The 20,085-nt window shown below is 41.4% G+C and overlaps 1 protein-coding gene across 12 annotated transcripts in view; it reads left to right on the forward strand.

The window, feature by feature from the left end:
* The window catches only part of SYT16 (synaptotagmin 16), a 300,664-nt gene that overhangs the window by 65,363 nt on the left and 215,216 nt on the right, over window positions 1–20,085 (forward strand). For 3 of the 12 annotated variants that reach the window (NM_001367661.1, NM_001367659.1, NM_001367657.1), the window contains exon 2: window positions 7,553–7,725. The exons of 7 other annotated variants lie outside the window; for them this stretch is intronic. Coding sequence is in view for 3 of the 5 variants with exons in the window: in NM_001367659.1 (NP_001354588.1) it covers window positions 7,719–7,725 (7 nt within the window). In the remaining 2 variants the exon portion in view is untranslated. Of the gene's footprint in view, window positions 1–4,889; window positions 7,173–7,552; window positions 7,726–12,820; window positions 17,021–20,085 lie in introns of those variants that run through there. 2 more of the 12 variants (XM_047431804.1, XM_024449730.2) reach the window with 2 other exon arrangements.

The raw sequence follows: 20,085 nt of genomic DNA on the forward strand, positions 1-20,085 counted from the left end.
GCCCCTGAGGGTTCAAAAGTTTCCCAGGTAATTAGAACTTAAAAGTCAGTCCCATTTTTCTCCTTAGCCCCTGCTAAAGAGTGCTGGACTCCCAGATCCAGGCTGGGCATAGAAACGCTTAAGCATGGAGTTCCTGGGTGTCCTCATTTCTGTCCAGAGTTGAGAGCTTGCCCTGTGGCCTTCTCCCTGGGGAGCTGTGTGTACTCAGGGTCACATGATTCCTGCAACAGTGGGTTCCTTGGTCTTCAGTTTGGGTGGGAACGTTTACTCTTTCAGGAGTACCCAGAAGGAGAATCGAGACTTGTAGTTGGGTGGAAACATGCTGGAATTATTTAGGCGTTAACTAGACAATGGGAAACTGGTAGGTAGAACCTTAATCCCTGGGTGTTTCTGACTAAGCAGGGTGATAAGAGCAGAATGTCCCAGGCACACAGGCACACACTGCCAGTATACCTTGCCCTGGGCACACAGACACACACTGCCAGTATACCTGCCCTGGGCAAGGCCTTGGGGTGTATGAACACTGATCATTTCTACTCACCGTTCTCCAGGGATCCCAGGAAAATCAGATAGTTTCAATAAGAGTATTACAGTACGCAGAGGCAAAAAACTTAAAAGGACCATGAGATGTAGTTCCTCTTTGCCTCTTCTTTTTATCTTCACAAAGAAAAAAAGTCATTATATTGAAAATGAAGATGATTAGAAAAGCTTTAAAACATTCTCAGTATGTTTTAAACATTTCTCCTAGAAAACCACAAGCCAAAGGCAGTTATTTCTTGCCTCCTTTTTGCTCAGTTATGTAAACGTCCATTTGTGGGAATACCAGGTTGATCCGGAAATCTCAATTTAAAGAGAGCTGAGAAGTAGACTTGTTATCAGGAGCATGAAAGGAAACACTGTGGGGCAGCTTTAATTTTCATGACTCTCAAATGCAGGGACATGACTGAAGCACAAGGTATCTGATTTTCAGTTGTACCCGGCCATGAAATCAATCTCTGGGTCTACATAGCCACACTTGAAACAACCTCACATCTCTCACACTGGCTTGCCAAATCTGAGGGACTTTGATTTGAGAAAAGAAAAGGAAGACATTTCCACCATTCATACCAAAACCTGGGTTTTTGAAGTAATTTGAATTTCTGATCCTTTTTTTCAGCCTGTACTTGCCTCTCTTCCTATCACTGCAGAATCCAAAATAAATTCGAAGCTCTCCCTCTTCTGCTGTGGACTAGGAAGAGTCAGAGAATGTTAGAAAGATTTTTGCCAACCTGCTGTGGACTAGGAAGAGTCAGAGAATGTTAGAAAGATTTTTGCCAACCTGCTGTGGGAGGTACAGAATTTCTAAATAGCAGGGGCTTGGAGTGGCATTCTAGGCGCTATTAGGGGATTTATCTAGAGGCAATGTCTATGTAGCAAGCATACTTAGTTTGTAATGTTTATATTTAGGATAATGAGAGTGTTGGCTCTAAACCCCCAGACTTCCCTTCAGTGCTACCACTGTAAGCTATGAATAATCTTTTATATACAGAATTGGATATCTCTCCCCAACCCTTTCCTGCTATTAATTTGTGTTTTTTTTTAAGTGTGAGTCCATTTCTCTTGATACACTCAATGTGCCTGTAAGGAAGAGGGCCAGCCATATCCCAGCTTGGAATACGACCAAAGCAGCCAGGACAACTGTGTTATTAATACTTTTTCTCTTTGGCTTCCATAAGGATTTAAAAACAAAAACAGAAAAGTGTGCCTTTTCTTGTCTCTCCTACTTGACCTTCAAGTTAATAAAATGAGTGACAGAGAGATTACAACTGTGAAGAAGTAAGGATGCCCTTTCAGCCAAGGGTGCTTGTCATACTTTCATCTCTGTGCTCTTGGAAAATAGTAAGATCTCAATAAACATTCTCTCTTAGCACTTTTGACAAGCAATTCACCTCTCTGGACTGAAGCTCTAACATTGCATGATCTATGATTTTAGGACCCAGATAATAATATTGCCAACCCCAGTTTCCATGGGTCCCTTGCTCTTTCATCACCAGTAAACGGCACCATCTTCAACATCTTCGTTTTAAGGTACCTGCTCTCCGACTCCTGTCCCACCCTCCTGGCGGGAGCTTCTAGTGTTATCACCCCACAGACCTCTAATCCATGGCCTACCACATTTTCATTGTCTATGATCCCCTTTCTCTCTTTTCCTTTTTTACTAGTTTAGATTTCACATTATATCATTTAAGCAGTTAAATATGTCAGGAGAAAAATGCATAATTGTGCTCAGTGATCTACAAATTCCTGACATCGATCTAACATTAGCCCTTGACACTGCCTGGCAATCCTGCCATCTATCCTTTGGATTTTTGTCCTTCTACTCTCCAGAACAATCACACTGTCTTCTCTCGCCCCAGCTTTCTGGGCTCCTTTCCTATTCACTCTTAGCTGACTATGTTGCTTCCAAATTCACTGAAAAGATAAAAGTAGTAAGGCAGGCCACATGCCTATCATCGAATCCAGCACCCCACTCATGTCTTTATTTGCACTCCATTTCCCACCTCTGTCTGCAGATGAAATGTCTTAGTTCCCACCAAAAGCTGCTTCTGCTTATTTACCTCCAGTGCTGCCACAGATATACTGGGCATGCATCCTCATTTGCCCAGTTCAATGATAGTTTCCATTTGTTGGCTTGGCATAACCGTGAATAAATAGTTCCCCCTAAAGTACCTCAGTTTGTGTGACAAATTATATAGTCTTAATCATGTAATAAACTTCCATATGTGGGTATGGGGGGTCTGTTTCTGGACTAGCAGGTCAGAGCATCTCTGTGACCACATCATACTGTCTTAGTTGCTTTACAGGTGGTTATGTAGCTTTAACAAGTCCAGACACAGGGCAGAGCAAGCATTCCTTTCTTTTCTTCAGATGTGAATCAGCTTTTTTTGGTCCTTTACTATTTCATGTGCATTTTAGAATTAGTTCGTAAAGTTCCACAAAATCCTGTTGGGGTTTTGATTGGAGTTTCATTGAGTCTCTAGATCAATTTTGGAAGAATTAAATCACTGCAAAATCAAATCTTCCTACTCATTAACACATATATTGCTCTATTTAGTTTTTCCTTAATATCTTTCAGCAAAATTTCACAATTTTCTGCTTATAGGTTAAATACATATTTTGTTAATTTTTTACTAGATATTTTATGGTTTTTGTTTCTATTGTAAATAGTGTATTAAAAATTGAACTTTTTTTGTTGTGGTACTGTTGACTTGTGTATTATTCTTATAGGCAGCCAGTTTGTGAAATTTTTATTTATAATGATTTATAAATTTGTCAGGGTTTTCTTTATAGGCAATCATAACACTTGCAAAAATGATGGTTTTTGTTTTCTTTTTTCTAATCCTTCTACTTTTAAACAACTTGATTGACATGTAGCATACATACAGGAAAGAGCACACATCATAAGGTCACCTCTTGATACATCTTCACAAAATGAACAAATTTATTTGACTAGCACCTAGATCAAAAAACAGAACATTATTTGCATCCATGAAGCCCCCCTGGTGCTCTCTTCCATCACTACCTCCCCAAAGAAAAATGTTTGTGTTTTTATTATATTTTTCTGGTCTTATTGACTTGGCTCTTGCAAAGTTCCCTTTCTTAACATAATCACTTTCTCCCTTTCTGCTGGAATATTTCCAGTAACATACAAATGTGCTTTGCAGTCTTCCATCTTAAATCTGAAATCACTCTCCCTTGACATTTATGTCCCTTTCTAGCCAGTGCTCCATTTGGCTGCTCCCCTTCTCAGCAAAACCTTTTGAATAAAAGTCCTATAGTCATGGTCTCTACTTCCTCACTGTACAGTTTTCTTTTCAACTCACTTTTATCTGGCTTCCGTTTTGGTATTCCATTGAGGCAGCTCTTGTCATGATACCAGTGTCATCCTTGTTATCAAATCCAATAGATGGCTCTGTTAATATCCTCTGCATCTCTAAGCATCATTTGATGTAATTAGCCCTTGCCCATTTTGAAACACTTCATTTTCATGGCTTCAATTTTTTGCATTTGGGTGACTAGTTGTTGAATGCCCTTCTCTTCACCTAGACTCTAAGTTCCACAATGGCTATGGTGATGTATAGCTTTTTCACTGTTCCATTCCCAGTGTTTAGTCCAGTGTTGACAGTAGATTGACAAATATTTGTTGCCTGGGCTTTAGGGGTGACAGTATATATCCAGTCACTTTTGTCTCATGTCTACTTAAATGTCTTACGGGTACCTCAACTTCAACATGTCCAAAATGTGTTTATCATCTTCTTCTACAGTCCCCCTCCTCCACTAGTATTCCCCTTTTGAGAATATACCAGTAACATCCACTAAGCCAGAAACCTTAACTCCTTACTTTTTCTCATTCCCACATCCAGTCCATGATTTCTGACCATGCTACTGCCTGCATACTTTTCCCAAATTCATCCTCTTCCTTCTATGTCCATTTGCATTCTTCTGGCATGCCATTATATTGAATTAATGAAACAGCTTCGAATCTGTTTTTGTTCTGAACTGTTCTGAACTCAGGTATTACTTCCTTCTAATTAGTCTCCACATAGCAGCCAAAGTGATCCTTTTAAAAATACAGGTCTAATTAAATCACCCTCATATGGCAGACATTGTGCCATATACTATCCTCCCAATTATAAAAATAGAATGAACAAAGGATAATAAACAAGAGAGTACAGGATTGCACTATTAAAAAAAATTACATGATAAGTAATTTATAGTTAATTTTAATATCACTATTCTTTCCACATTTTCAAAGCATCTGTATTAGTCTGTTCTTACACTGCTATGAAGAAATACCCAAGACTTCTTCACAGGGCAGCAGGACAGAATGAATGCAAGCAGGAGAAATGCCAGATGCTTAGAAAACCATCAGATCTGGTGAGACTCATTCACTATTATGAGAACAGCATGGGAGAAACTACCCTCATGATCCATTTACCTCCACCTAGTCTTGCCCTTAACACATGGGGATTACAGAGATTACAATTCAAGATGAGATTTTGGGTGAGGACCAAACCAAACAATATCATTCCTCCCCAGCCCCTCCCATATCTCATGTTCTCACATTTCAAAACACGATCATGCCTTTCTAACTGTTCCCCCAGATCTTAGCTCATTCCAGCATTAACCCAAAAGTCCAAGTCCAAAGTCTCATCTGAGACAAGGCAAGTCCCTTCTGCCTATGAGCCTGTAAAATTGAAAGCAAGTTAGTTACTTTCTAGATACAATGGGAGTACAGGCATTGGGTAAATACACCTGTTCCAAATAAGATACATTGGCAAAAACAAAGGGGCTTCAGGCTCTATGCAAGTCTGAAATCCAATAGGCCAGTCATGAAATCTTAAAGTTCCAAAATGATCTCCTTTGACTCCATGTCTCACATCCAAGGTGGCGTGGGACTTGCACCCTCTGAAGCAATGGTCTGAGCTGTACCTTTGTCCCTTTTAGCCATGGCTGGAGATGAAGCAGCTGGGATGCTGGGCACAATGTCCTGAGGCTGCACAGAGCAGGGGAGCACTGGGACAGGCCCAGGAATCCATTTTTCCCTCCTAGACTTCCAGGCCTGTGATGGGAGGGGCTGCCAGGAAGGTCTCTGACATGCCCTGGAGACATTTTCTCCATTGCCTTGGTGATTAATATTTGGCTTCTCATTACTTATGCAAATTTCTGCAGCTGGCTTGAATTTCTTCCCAGAAAATAGGTTTTTCTTTTCTGTCACATCATTGGACTGCAAATTTTTCAAATGTTTTTGCTCTGCTTCCCCTTGAACACTTTACTGCTTAGAAATTTATTCTACCAGATACCCACTATCATTTTTCTCAAGTTTATAGTTCCACAGATCTCTAGGGCAGAGGCAAAATGCCACCAATCTCTTTGCTAAAGCATACCAAGAGCGACCTTTACTCCAGTTCCCAACAAGTTCCTCATCTCCATCTGGGACCACCTTAGCCTGGACTTCATTGTCCATATCACTATCAGCATTTTGGTCAAAGCCATTCAACAAGTCTCTAGGAAGTTCCAAACTCTCCTACATTTTTCTGTCATCTGAGCCCTCCAAACTGTTCCATCCTATGCCTGTTATCCAGTTCCAAATTTGCTTCCACATTTTTGGATATCCTTGTAGTAGTACCCCACTCTTGGTACCAATTTACTGTATTAGTCTGTTCTTACACTGCTGTGAAGAAATACCTGGGTCTGGCTGTTTTATAAAGGAAAGAGATTTAACTGACTCACAATTCCACATTGCTGAGAAGACCCTAAGAAACTTACAATCATGGCGGAAAGCAGGCACCTTCTTCACAGGGTGGCAGGATGGCATGAGTGCAAGCAGGAGAAATGCCAGATGCTTATAAAACCATCAGATGTTTTGAGACTCACTAACTATCATGAGAACAGCATGGGGGAAACTGCTCCCATGATCCGATTACCTCCACCTGGTCCCACCCTTGACATGTGGGGATTATGGAGATTACAATTCAAGATGAGGTTTTGGGTGGGGACACAGGCAAACCATATCAGCATCCTTTGGATTTCACTGCCACTCCTGTATCCTCTACAACTACACACCCATCAGTGGCCTTTGTTTTTCTGCACCTACCTTTTCTCCAAATTGAAATCTCAGGACTATTTTTCAATAATAGCAGGTAGATTTTCAGTAACTATGAGAAGGAAGTATATAACTAGTTATCTGGGTTGATGAGCTACCCAGCAATCCATTCATCAGCAATAAGTCTTGTAAAAACATAAAAAAGAAAACTCTTCAGGCTTCCTTTATTAATATTAAAGATTGTTAGAAGTGATCAAAAGTAAGTTAATTATTACGTCGCCTCCTTTCTTAAACACAGATCTTCAACTAATTAAGGAAGTACCTTCTGTATTACTAAAGGCACTGTGCTTCAGTCAATGATATGCATATATCCTACAATGAAAAAATCTAGGTTTAAAGTGATAAACAGCTTCTCTTCTCCACTGATTGGAAGTTGCCACTTGCAAGAAAGCCTGACCAGTTGAAGGACAAAGTTGAAAAGTTCTTTGTTTTTGATGATGTGCCCTGTTTTTAAATTCGAGAGCAACAAGGCGTGACTACTTTCCTGTTTCCAAAATTAGCAGGAGTAGCAGGACAAGATTAATAGGTGGGTTCATTATGCCTAAGAAGCTGACTTTTTTTTCCACAGAAAATAATTGCTTTTTTGGAGTGCAAAAAGCTTTTGCTCATGCAGTGTCAAGATCTGTTATGTTGATTGGGGGATGAAGTCACTCTTCCCACTGTTTGTAGGGCAGAAAGTCAATAAATGTGATCGGTGGTTTTGTACAGCATTGAAAAGTCTCCAGAAGATTTCTCTCTTTTGGGACCCACTAAAAACCAGAGGACTCCAGGAAATAAAGCCAAATTGTGCTCTTTTGACATGGGGCCATAAACGTAATGGAATGATTTTTCCCATGAAAGATCTGAGCAAAATAACCTCTACTGATTTATTTGACTGAGTCACATCCAGCTTTCCTTCCTTCTTAGGTGCTGTTGCTTCAGAAAGTATCATCACAATTTCATTATCTGTCTAATACTGTGTAAACAGATACCTTATTTCAAATGGACACAAGGAGGTAGTGGAGTAGAGAGTAAGATCATGGGCTCTTGAACCAGACTCTTGGATTCTAAACTTGATTCAGCTGGTTTTAGAATGTTGGGTGAGTAACTTACTTTTTCTTTGCCTCAGTTTCTTTATCTAAAAAGGGAGAGAGGGTAGATAATTACCTCCCTTGGCCATGGAGTGTTTTTGTGAGGATTAAATTTATTTATGTAAAGTGCATGGCAGATATGATGATGATGATGATGATGATGATGATGATTACTGAGGTAACAAGGACTGGCTGAACATTCTCTTGTGGCATTCAGGGAACACTGAAGGTGAATTCTGCCTAGCATTAACATTTGTGGGTGGATGAATCCTTGCACATATAGTCAGATAAATGTTTAATAAGTGGTCATTGGGGGTTTGACAAAGCAAGGAGACATTTAGAAAACATACAGAATCCTGTTTTAGAATGTCTTACTTGATAGATATTATTTCTATTTACAGGCTTACTTTGGAGATATTGCAGGTTTGGTTCTAGACACCAAAATAAAGCAAATATCTCAATTGAATGAGTCACATACATTTTTTGGTTTCTCAGTGCGTATAAAAGTTATGTTTACACTATTATGTAATCTATTAAGTGTGCAATAAAGTGATGCCTTAAGAAGTACATACCTTAATAAAAAATATTTTATAGCTAAAAAATACCAACAGTCATCTAAGTCTTCAGTGAGCCATAATCTTTTTGCTTGAGGGTTTTGCTTCGATGTTGATGGCTGCTGAATGATCAGGGTGGTGGTTATTGAAGGTTGAGGAGGCTGTGGCAATTTTTTTTTTTTTTTTTGGAGACAGAGTCTTGCTCTGTCGCCCAGGCTGGAGTGCAGTGGAGCGATCTTGGCTCACTGCAAGTTCTGCCTCCTGGGTTCATGCCATTCTCCTGCCTCAGCCTCCTGAGTAGCTGGGACTAGAGGCGCCCACCACCACGCCCAGCTAATTTTTTGTATTTTTAGTAGAGATGGAGTTTCACCATGTTGGCCAGGATGGTCTCGATCTCCTGACCTCGTGATCCGCCTGCCTCGGCCTTTCAAAGTGCTGGGATTACAGGCGTGAGCCACCGCACCTGGCTGGCTGTGGCAATTTTTTAAAATAAGACAGCAATGAAGTTTGCTGCATTGATTGACTCTTCTTTTCACAAAAGATTTCTCTGTAGCATGTGATGCTGTTTGATAGCATTTTACCCACAGTGGAACTCTTTTCAAAACTAGAGTCAATCCTCTCGAACCTTGCCACTTCTTTATCAACTAAGCTTTTGTATTATTCTAAATCGTTTGTTGTCACTTCAGCCGTGTCCACAGCGTCTTCACCAGGAGTAGATTCTGTCTTAAGAAACCACTTTGCTCATCTGCTCATCTGTAAGAAGCACTTCTTCATTCATTCAAGTTTGACCATAAGATTGCATCAATTCATTCAGATCTTTAGGCTCCACGTCTAATTCCAGTTCTCGTGCTATTTCCACTGCAGTTACATCCCTACTGAAGTCTTGAGCCCCTCAAAAGTCATTCATAAGGGTTGAAATCAACTTCTTCCAAACTTCTGTTAATGTTGATATTTTGGCCTCCTCCCATGAATCACAAATGTTCTTAATGACATTTAGTGAATCCTTTCCAGAAGGTTTTAATATGGTAGCAGTAGCCTTATGAAATGCATTTCTTTAAGGGGAGTTACGCTTATTTTTTTTTTGTCTTTTTTTTTTTTTTTGTCTTTTTTTTTTTTTCCTTTTTATGGAGAACGGGGTCTTGCTATATTGCCCAGGCAGGTCTCGAACTCCTGGGCTCAAGCTATCCTCCCGCCTCTTGCCTCCCTGAGAGCTGGGATTACAGGCGTGAGCCACTGCGCCCGGCCATGAAATGTATTTCTTAAATAATAATACTTGAAAATTGAAATTCCTCCTTGATCAGTGGGCTGCAGAGTGGATGTTGTGTTAGCAAGCATGTAAATAACGTTGATCTCCTTACACATCTCTATCAGAGCTCTTGGGTGACAAGGTGTACTATCAGTGAGCAGTAATATTTTGAAAGGAATCTTTTTCTGAGCAGTAGATCTCAACACTGGGCTTACAATATTTAGTAAACCATTCTATAAACAGATATGCTGTCATCCAGGCTTTGTTGTTTTATTTCTAGAGCACAGGCAGAGTACACTGAGCATAGTTCTTAGGGGTCCTAGCATTTTCAGAATGGCCAGTGAGCACTGGCTTCAATTTAGTCACCAGCTACATTAGGACCAACCAAGAGAGTCAGCATGTCCATTGAAGCCTTGAAGCCAGGCGTTGATTTCTCCTCTCTAGCCATGAAAGTCCTAGATGATATCTTCCAATAGAAGGCTGTTTTGTGTACATGGAAAATCTGTTGTTTGGTATAACCAGCTTCATTAATGATCTTAGCCAGATCTTCAGGATAAATTGCTGCAGCTTCTACATCAGCACTTGCTGCTTTGCCTTGCACTTTTATATTATGGAGATGGCTTCTTTCCTTAAACCTCATGAACCAACCTCAGTGAGCTTCCAAGTTTTCTTCTGCAGCTTCCTTCTGCACCTCTCAGCCTTCATAGAATTGAAGAGAGTTCGGGCCTTGCTCATGATTAGGCTTTGGCTTGAGCAAATGTTGTGGTTAGTTTGATCTTCTATCCAGACCACTAAAACATTCTTCATATCAGCAGTAAGGCTGTTTTGCTTTCTTACCATGCCTGTGTTCACTGAAGTAGCAATTTTAGTTTCCTTCAAGGACTTCTCCTTTGCATTCACAACTTGGCTAACTCTTTGGTGCAAGAGGCCTAGCTTTTACCGTCTTGGCTTTTCACATGCTTTTCTCACTCAGCTTTATCATTTTTATCTTTTGATTTAAAGTGAGATATCTGTGACAATTCCTTCCACTTGAACACTTACAGGCCATTGTAAGGTTATTAATTGGCCTAATTTCTTTTCTTTTCTTTTTTTTTTTTTTTTTGAGACGGAATCTCACTCTGTCACCCAGTGCAGTGGCGTGATCTTGGCTCACTGCAACCTCCGTCTCCCACGTTCTAACGATTCTCCTGCCTCAGCCTCCCGAGTAGCTGGGATTACAGGTGCACGCCACCATGCCTGGCTAATTTTTATATTTTTAGTAGAGACAGGGTTTTGCCATATTGGCCAGGCTGGTCTCAAACTCCTGATCTCAAGAGATCTGCCCGCCTTGGTCTCCCAAAGTGCTGGGATTACAGGCATGAGCCACCATGCCCAGCTTAATTGGCCTAATTTCAATAATGTTGTGTCTCAGGGAATAACTAAGTCCAAGAAAAGGGAGAGATGTGGGGGAATGACTGGTCAAGGGAGTAGTCAGAAAACACACAGCAATTATTGATTAAGCTTACTGTCTTATATGGGTGCAGTTTGTGGCACCCAAAACAATTACAATATTAACATCAAAAGTCACTGATCACAGATCACCATGACAGATGTAATAATAATGTAAGGGTTTGAAATTATTGTGTGAATTACAAAAATGTGACAGAGACACAAAGTGAGGCATGTGCTGTTGGAAATATTGTGCTGATACACTTGCGCAATGCAGGGTTGCCAACAACCTTCAATTTGTAAAAAAAAAAAAAAAAAAGCAATATCTGTGAAGTGCAATGAATGAAAGCATAATAAAACAAGATATATCTATTTTTTTCTAAAAAGGTACAATGATGAGGATAAAACTAATAGCTATCTCTCTATAACTCCACATCTTGTAATCCTCTGTCACATTTAGGTTTTGCGCTGGTATTGGTACAAGGACTTAGGATCACATTCACTGTAGGAGGCCCAGAAAAGGTCATAATAGTCATTGCATAAAATAAGGTATTTAGAGCTGTTAAAGAAAAAAAAGATTCAAAAACTTGGTAAAGTTGGTAAGGCAGACTTTATTCAAGGGAGGCATGGTGATAGTTGCAGGGACCACTGCCATAGGGTCTTGCAGTGGAGGAGAGAGCCTGGACTCAACTCTGACTCCAACAAGGACAAGTGGGGGTTTATAACCACTGAGCAGGGTAGGGGTCAGTGGATGGAAAATTATTAAGAGGAAACTTCAAAGATAAGGGGTTACTGGCTAAGCCAAATTGTTATAATTATTGCTGAAGGGAGGCCAGGTTTATAAGATACTGGAGGGTGGTCAGATGCCAAGGTTGGGGACATTTTCCCTAAACTGACTGCTATAGTTTAGGTGTTTGTCCCCCTAAACCTCATGTTGAAATCTGATTTCAATGTTGGAGGTGGGGCTGTAATGGGAGACGTTTGGGTCAAGGGAATGGATCCCTCATGACTCCATTAATGCCCTCTCTGGAGGGCAGATGAGTGAGTTCTTTCTCTATTAGTTCCTGCAAAAGCTGTTTGTTAAAAAGATCCTGGTACTTCCCTCTGCTCGCTCTTGCTCCCTCTCTCTCTCTCTCTGTCTCCCTCCCTCTCTCTCTCTCCCCTCCCCTCCTTTCTGTCTCTCTGTCTTGCTCACTTCTTCTCCACTCATGTACCCTCTGCACAGGCAAACTCCCTTTCATCTTCCACTCTGAGTGGAAGCAGTCTGAGGCCCTCCCTCAATGCACCATCATGAACCTTCCAGCTTGCAGAATCGTGAGCTAAATAACTCTCTTTTCTTTATAAATTACCCAGCCTCAGCATTCCTTTATACCAACACAAAACAGACTAAGACACTCATTTAGCAGTATTTTTTCTCAAACTGGATTCAGCAAGGACAGAGAGAGAACCCCAAGGTCAGCCTAGTCAAGCAGAGGACTCAGAGGGGCTGGATACAAGTTTTGATCAAAGGAGGCAGTCTTTGTCACAGCCACTGGGGACATACAATCAGGCCAGATTCGGTAAATAAGAATAACCTTTTATAAGTCGAGAAAGATCACGAAGAGGCAGGATATTGCTCTACCCTGGGTTAGGAGGATCATGAGCAAGCCTTTCTTCCTCCTTTCACTTTTAGTTTCAGATGTTCAAGACTGTGTGGGTACATTGGTGGAAGTGAAAACAGTAAGAAAGGCTGGGAGCTTCTGGGCTGTGGGTAGTTTGGGTTGGTTGTTGGAGGGAGGACTGCCACCCTGGACAAAAGAGGGGCCAGGGGAGTTCCCAGAGCTTTGGATATGGGGCAGGCCCCTGGGAATTGTTGAGAAGGCGCTTTGGGTTTCCCTTCAAGTTGCCCATCTCATTTCACAGGTTAGTGAGAGGGACAAGGATTCAGGTTCACTGACCCAACCAAAGTGGAGGGGCTATATTTGTCCCTGAGTTCCAGATACAGGTAGTTGGGTGGTCTTAAATATAGTCAAGAATGTTTCCTTCATGACAAAAAAAAAAAAAAACACTATACAATTTTTACTTCTATAGAACAAACAATTTTTACTTCTTTTTAAAAGAAGCTCTTTTGAGCTTCTTTTGCTGCAGTATCTTTTTATATGCATCTAGATTTTTATAGAGTCTTGAAATTCATTGATATATGAGAAACTGAGGCCACCAATGACAGAAATTGTGTATGTTAGTAAATTGCGTATGTTAGTAAATACGTTAGTAAATAAGGGTAGCTAAGGAAAACCAAGCCTCTGGGATTGTATTGAACAGTTTCATAGCTGTGGTTCTGTGAGTGAATGGGAGAGGGCTGGCTTCCTGCATGTGGGGGTTGGCTGGTGAATGAGGAAAATTAGCATGGCTGGGTTGATTTTTCTCTTTGAAAAGACTTTGTTCCCAGATGTCATACATATTATTTAGCTTGAATAAATATGAAATATTCTGGGGAAATAAATATAAGTCCCTGGAGTGCAGAGACTCTCTGTTGCTAACTTCAGTTCAGGTGCTTTCAGTTACAAGAAAGGAGGTGACGTTTGTCTCCAGTGTGTGTGAGTGCTCCCTTGGCTTTTGGCTAAGGTACTTTGCTTCTTTTGCCTTTTAAAATTCCACTAATCACTTCATTTTTCTTTTGGCTCTAGAGAAAGCCAGAGTGTTTTATTCCTTGATGAGCATTTGAGAACTGAATCCTTTAATTTATCTTTTGGTCCACCTTCCAGGACATGTGTGCACGTGCATACACACACGCGCACACACACACACACACACACACACACACAATTTATCCATCTCTCTCTTGCTTTTGTGGCAAGCACGTCTTCACCTGTTTTTTTTTTCCCCTTGCAAACTTGAGCATTGATTCACATTTCAAGCCAATTGTTTATTGCTGTTGCTATTGAGAATGTGACATTAGGGAGATTCAGAACAATGCATTTCAGCTCACTGTTGACTCATGTTGGATGATTTCAGCAGCAGCAGCTCAAGCTGGTGGCCTGTGGGATCAAGATAATGAGCCTGAATAGCTGCCGCTGCAGCACTGAGAGGACAAGTAGGGCTGGAGGGACCAACAGCTGGGACCCTTCCAGAATTCTAAATGATCATGCAAAAGACAGAAACAAGGCAGTTTGCATCAGGAAAAGGTGATAAAGGTAGAACAACTTATTAGAACAGAGAACAAGATAAAAGGAGTGATAGGGAAAAGAATGAAGCCAGAAAATATAATAGTGTATAACCTTAGGCTAGGATCCTACTGAATAAGTCAGCTGGTAAAGTCTAAAAGGATAAGGTAGTAGAGATGCTCTGAAGGTTGAAAGTTCTTATTTTGGTAGAAGGTAGTCAGTTCTTGCTGGCTGTGTTATATAATTATGTGTCCATGTTTTGACACATATGTTGCTTTCATCTATTTTAAAGGTTGTTTTGGAAAATATAAGAAAATTCCCTACAGCAAATGGCAGGACCCTAATTAAAATGATAAATGCAAAAGAATTTATTGACTCATCCAGGGGCGAGGCTGACTGGGTTTGGCTGGACTGAAGCATTCAAAGGAAGATCTCACTTCCCTGCCTCCCTCCTTCCCTTCCTTTTCTCCTTTTCTCTCCACTTACTCCCCTTTCTGCATCTCTGCCCCTTCTCCTTCGCCCTGCATCCTCCCACCATAAACCTCTCCTCTTCCTCCCTTCTCTCTCGCTTCTTCCTCGCATCTTTCCCCTGACCCTCCGTCTCTCTGACTCTACCTTCCTCACACCACCCTGGCCCCTCTCTCCATTGCTTGCTAATCTCTCTTTCCATCCCCTTGATTTCTCTCTCCCTCCACCTCTAGCTGCTACTCTCGCCCCGTCTGCCTCCTCTCCTTCACACCTCATGCTCCTTTCTCTCTTTGCCCTCGCTTTGTCCCCACTGCTCCCCTGGCCACCCTTGGCCTCCATTTTCTCTCATGCTCTGCCTTCCATTCTTTCTCCTTCCCCCATTTATTCTTCCTCACCCCAGCCCTCTCATGGCTCTGTTGCTCCCTTTGCTAATTTTGTTCCAGGGCTGACTCTCCTCCGTGGTGACCTGCCTGCTGCTCCAGACTTGTATCCCCAGCTTGGCCTTCCCAGTGGAAAAAGAGTTTCCCTTTCACAATAGTTCCAGTAAAAAGTCTCAGGATTGACTCTCATTTGGCTGATGTGGGGACCAAGAGGCTTTAGAACCGATGGGGGGTGGTGACATCCCTTTCTGAACCATGTGGACTGAAGTTCAGGTACATCAGAGTGCTGGAGAAGGGGAATTGAGGACTGCATTCAGAAGAAAGGGGATTAGATACCGGGCCGGCAAGAAAACTAAGGCACCATTACTGTTCCCATTGGCCAGGCTTGGTTGGTAGTGGCTGTAACAAACAACCCCCACATCTCAGTAAAATACAGAATAAACGGTTTTTTTTTTTCCTTCCCTTTGCCACGGTCCAGTGCAGGTGGGGCCGCCTTCCACAAGCCTTCCTCAGTGTGGTGACTCAGGTGTGGTCCTGCTGTACTGGAGTCCTTCACTTCCAGGGCATCAATAGGAGGAAAAGAGTATAAAACAGGCCGTTATAGCGACACTCATGTGGTGTAGAGAATTCCTGCACACTTCCCATTAACTGGAACCCAGTTCCTGTTCTTGATCTTACCAGAAGAGATACTGGGAAACTTCGTGTTCTTATGTGCCCAGAAAGAAAGTGAATGTGGTTTGGGGAGCACACAGCATTGTTATGGCCATAGCCAGGCTGTTTGGATACATAATTGGATGACAAGCAGCTGGTACTAAACCAATATAAAGTTAACGCTGGGTATTTATGACTTGTACGTTTATGCTTTCCTCTGAAATGCCTTTCATTCCTTCTTTGATTTTAGATATTGTCCTGAAATTCTGCTTTTATGTGAAGCCTTCCAATATGGCACTGTATAAGAGCTTAGACTTTGGAACCAAATGGCATAAGTTAAGTTTCAGCTTCCCCATTTTCTAGGGGGTGACCTGGAGCAAATTAACCTCATCAAGCCTTTGTTTCCTCCTCTCATATACTGTGCAAAAAGAATCATTAATAATAATCCAGATTTAAAAAGCATTCAAATCACTTGGGTGCTTGTGACGTTTTCTTTTTTTAGCTGTAATTTTACTTAGCAACTCAGTGAAGCTCAGCAAATCAGTGGTACATCTGGGCGTGGGCTGCACTGTAGGCTCCCATTTTCCATCCACTAGAATCTTATGATTTCAGAGCCAAAGGGAAGTTCAGTGGTCACCATTCCAACCTCCCCATTTTACAGAAGAGGAAACTGAGGCTCAGGCAACTTGATTGTGCACATGGTGGCAGAGCTGGAGGTAGGTCCCATGTCCCCCGATTCTGCATCTTCTGATTCCGCATCTGAGAGCCTGTGGCTCCTCTCTCAGCGGTGGCCTTTTTCTTTTGCAAATCTTGTTACCTCAACACATCAAAACCTGGCAGTCTAAGGAGAAGGCTCCTCAGTTCTACCCCACAGCTCAGGAAAAAAAGGCCTGGCTGGCATGGTGGCTCATGCCTGTAATCCCAGCACTTTGGGAGGCCAAGGCGGGCAGATTACCTGAGGTCAGGAGTTCGAGACCAGCCTGACCAACATGGTAAAACCCCATCTCTACTAAAAATACAAAAAATTAGCCGGGCATTGTGGCAGGTGCCTGTAATCCCAGCTACTCAGGAGGCCATGGAAGGAGAATCGCTTGAGCCCGGGAGGCTGAGGTTGCAGTGAGCAGAGATTGCGCCATTGCACTCCGGCCTGGGCAACAAGAACGAAACTCTGTCTCGAAATTAAAAAAAAAAAAAAAAGCCTGTTCATTAGGTTCTCGGTTCTCTCTCCGTACCCACCCCCTGCCCCCCAAATCAAGTGTAGACATCTTTTTTGTGTTCTAGACATAAGACCGTCCTATCTGCAGCAACTGTGGTTTAAAACTTTTTGGTTTTACAGAGATGGCTGCTGCAGCTCAATGAGAGGTGATAAAGACATAGGTAATTGCTGTAGAATAATCCTGCTGCCAAGAAGATGATTGAACTCCCACACAGAAGGTGAACAGATGGTATATTTATTGAAATTCATAGGCTGTGAGATGGAATAATTTAACTGATGGCTGGGCACCCTCATTTCAGATTGAGGGAGGTTCTCAGAAGAACAAGTGTGCCGCTAGGTGGCGTGATTATCTAGGGCCCAGTGTGGTCTTCTCAGAGAGGGAGGCTGGATTCTGTGCACACTCAAGAATCACTTCATTTCCTAATTGGGATGACAAATCTTCCCTGTGGCTAAGTAGGAAACCATCATGTTTTTAAAACTTAAAATCGCTTTAATTATAAAATAAATATTTACCACTAAGGACTTTTGCATGGAAAAAATGCAATCAAATGACAGGATATCAAATTACCAAAGAGATGGGGTCATGGCTTGTTGGGGGGCAGTTTCTGGACCAGGAGTAGCTGTGGGCTCCAACACTGTCTCAAAGCATTGGCCCATCTGGGCCCAATGACATTTGCTCCCTGCCAGCTGCCTCACTCCTCAGCTCTGCCCACTGCTTGCAGTGCAGAACGGCAGAAACAACGGGGGCTCTAGAAACCTCATTTTTGGAAGTTGGTATCGTTAATGGCATTATATCAGAGGAAGAATAAAGGAATCCATTGTGAACTAATGTGAAGGAATGGAGGTAATGATTAGATCGCACAGGTAGGTTGATAACAACTTAACCTCTGATGGTTTCCCATCCTTATCTCTTTTGTTTAGTTAAATTTTTTTTAAAAAAATCAAAGTTCTTCCTCTAATGCTGAATCCCTCTGGCTTCCAAATCTAGAGCACCAAGAAACTTTGCCAGTGACTTTGGGATGCCCACACCTTGCTGATTTTGTGTGGGTACCACTTCCTGCTTATGTTTGATTTCATAAATGTGTCCACTTTTCAGCTCAGCAAATATTCATTGAATCTTTTTCTTGTTCAAGCTGTTCCTTTTTGTGTCTGAGTTTTCTCATCTGCAAAATGAATATAAATACTTGTCTCAAAGGGTTGTTGTGAGGATTAAATGAGTACTTTTATGTAAAATGCTTAAAACAGGGCCTGGCAAATAGAAAGTACTCAGTGAATATTAGCTGTATTTTACTATTACTGCTACCCCCACCACTAGCTACTATTGTATTACTACTACCACACCACTGATGCTGCTGCTGTTACTATGTATTTCTACTATATTGTTACTACTACTGCTACTGTTACTCTTGCATTACTACCACTGTTACTCCTACTATTCTGAATTAATTGGATTTTTGAGTCTTTATTACCCTGAATTGTAAAAAAAAATTAATCTTGTCAATTTAAGGTACATTTATTCTGCATTTTTAGGTAAATATTAGTTATTTAGGAATTTTTTTCTATGATCACTTCTCCTCAGAGGATGAGCTAACCTCTTAGGGTTTTATCTCCAGCCTGGCAGTGCGCGTGGGGACAGTGTGGTTCATGATTGCCCTCTGTTTGCGCTGGGCTACCTTGTCATTACTGTAGTTTGTTCTTTGGTCTTTGCCCTTACACCTCTCTGAGATCTCAACTGGTCGCTTTGGAGCCATTTTTTTTTTTTTGGAACTTGGTGGGCGTGGGGGATGGGATGGGTAGAAACCGGTCAGAATTTTCCAGATCTTCTCTGGCCCTGTGCTTTGTGAGGCTCAGCTAAGGCTTATTCTTGCTTATATGGGCAAGAACCCCCATACGTCACTCACACACTGCTGTGGGGACCAAGCTGGACTAGAGGTCTTCCTGCAAGGTGTACAGGTCCCCTGGGCTATACCTGGGAAGTAATGTACAAACCCCTTTGTCCTGGAGTCCCCACACTGAAGTGAGGTTTTATCACATAATTGCCTACTTCATTTCCACATACCTACTCATAGTGGAAAGGGTTTTGGGAAGAGGATAGAGTGTCCTTGAGAAATGCTTCTAAAGTCATAGCACAGAGAGGACTAGTTGAAGGCTCAAGTATATTGTCAACCATGAAGTTGTGCCTTAACAGTTGCTCTGGAACAAAATCCTTGGGTATGGCCAGTTACCCATTCAGACTGAAAATGGGTGGTGGTGGTAAGGCCAGAATGAGTTAATGAAAATTCTGGGTTATAGACTACAGAAAGAAATAGAGGTTTTTGGACTGAATACATGCCCATTCAACATAGGCCAGTAAAATATGCCAAATAGGGACCTTGTCACACTTTAAAAAATGAATATATAATAGTGTTTTCACTTATATATGTTGTGCTTGAAAATATTTTGCTTTATGCACTTTAGATGCTCATCTTATAATTTTGCATTATTTATAAAGAAATATGTAAACTCTAGCCCCCTCCTCCCATATCAAAAACTCAAAAAGAAATGGTTAATAAAGTTTCCTTTTATGTATTACTTGGGACCAGAATTAGTTGCTTGTTAGAACTGAGATTTATCCTATTAAATTGAGATGATCTAAGACAGAGGTCAACAAACTATGGCCTCTGGGCTTTGTTCCACTGTCTGCTTTGTATGAGCAAAGAATAGTTCTTACAGTTTCAAGTGGTGGGAAAAAAAAGAATATTTCATGTGAACATTATGTGGAATTCAAGTTTCAATGTCTATAAATAAAGTTTTATTGGAACACAACCATGCTTACTTGTTTACGTATTGTCTATGGCTACTTTCACACTACATTGGCAGAGATGAGGAGTAGCAACAGAGACCATATGGCCTACACCGAAAATACTTACTGTTTGACCCTTTCCAGAAAAATTTGCTGACCCCTGGTCTAGAACGTGGAAGCAGCATGAAATGAAGAGGAATTTAAGGAGACAGCATTGTTTTTAGAATTTTCTTTACGTTGTCTACAGGTAAGAGCAAAGCGGCCTCACAGTGGAGGTGTTGATCTTGTGGAAAGCGGGTGGAAAAAGTTGTGCTTCCATCAACCAGTGCATGGTGCTGTGTCAGCTCCACCCCTCATTTGTGGTTCTTAAAGTCTGCTGTTATTTTATGCCACCTGCATAACCTGATTTGCATCTTAAATTAATATCTAACTACCACTTGGACTTTTTTCAGAATAAGGAGAATGGCTTTTATGAAGCCATCTGTAGATGAAAAATAAATA

This window comes from Homo sapiens, chromosome 14 (genome assembly GCF_000001405.40).
Source record: "Homo sapiens chromosome 14, GRCh38.p14 Primary Assembly".
Lineage (NCBI taxonomy): Eukaryota > Metazoa > Chordata > Mammalia > Primates > Hominidae > Homo > Homo sapiens.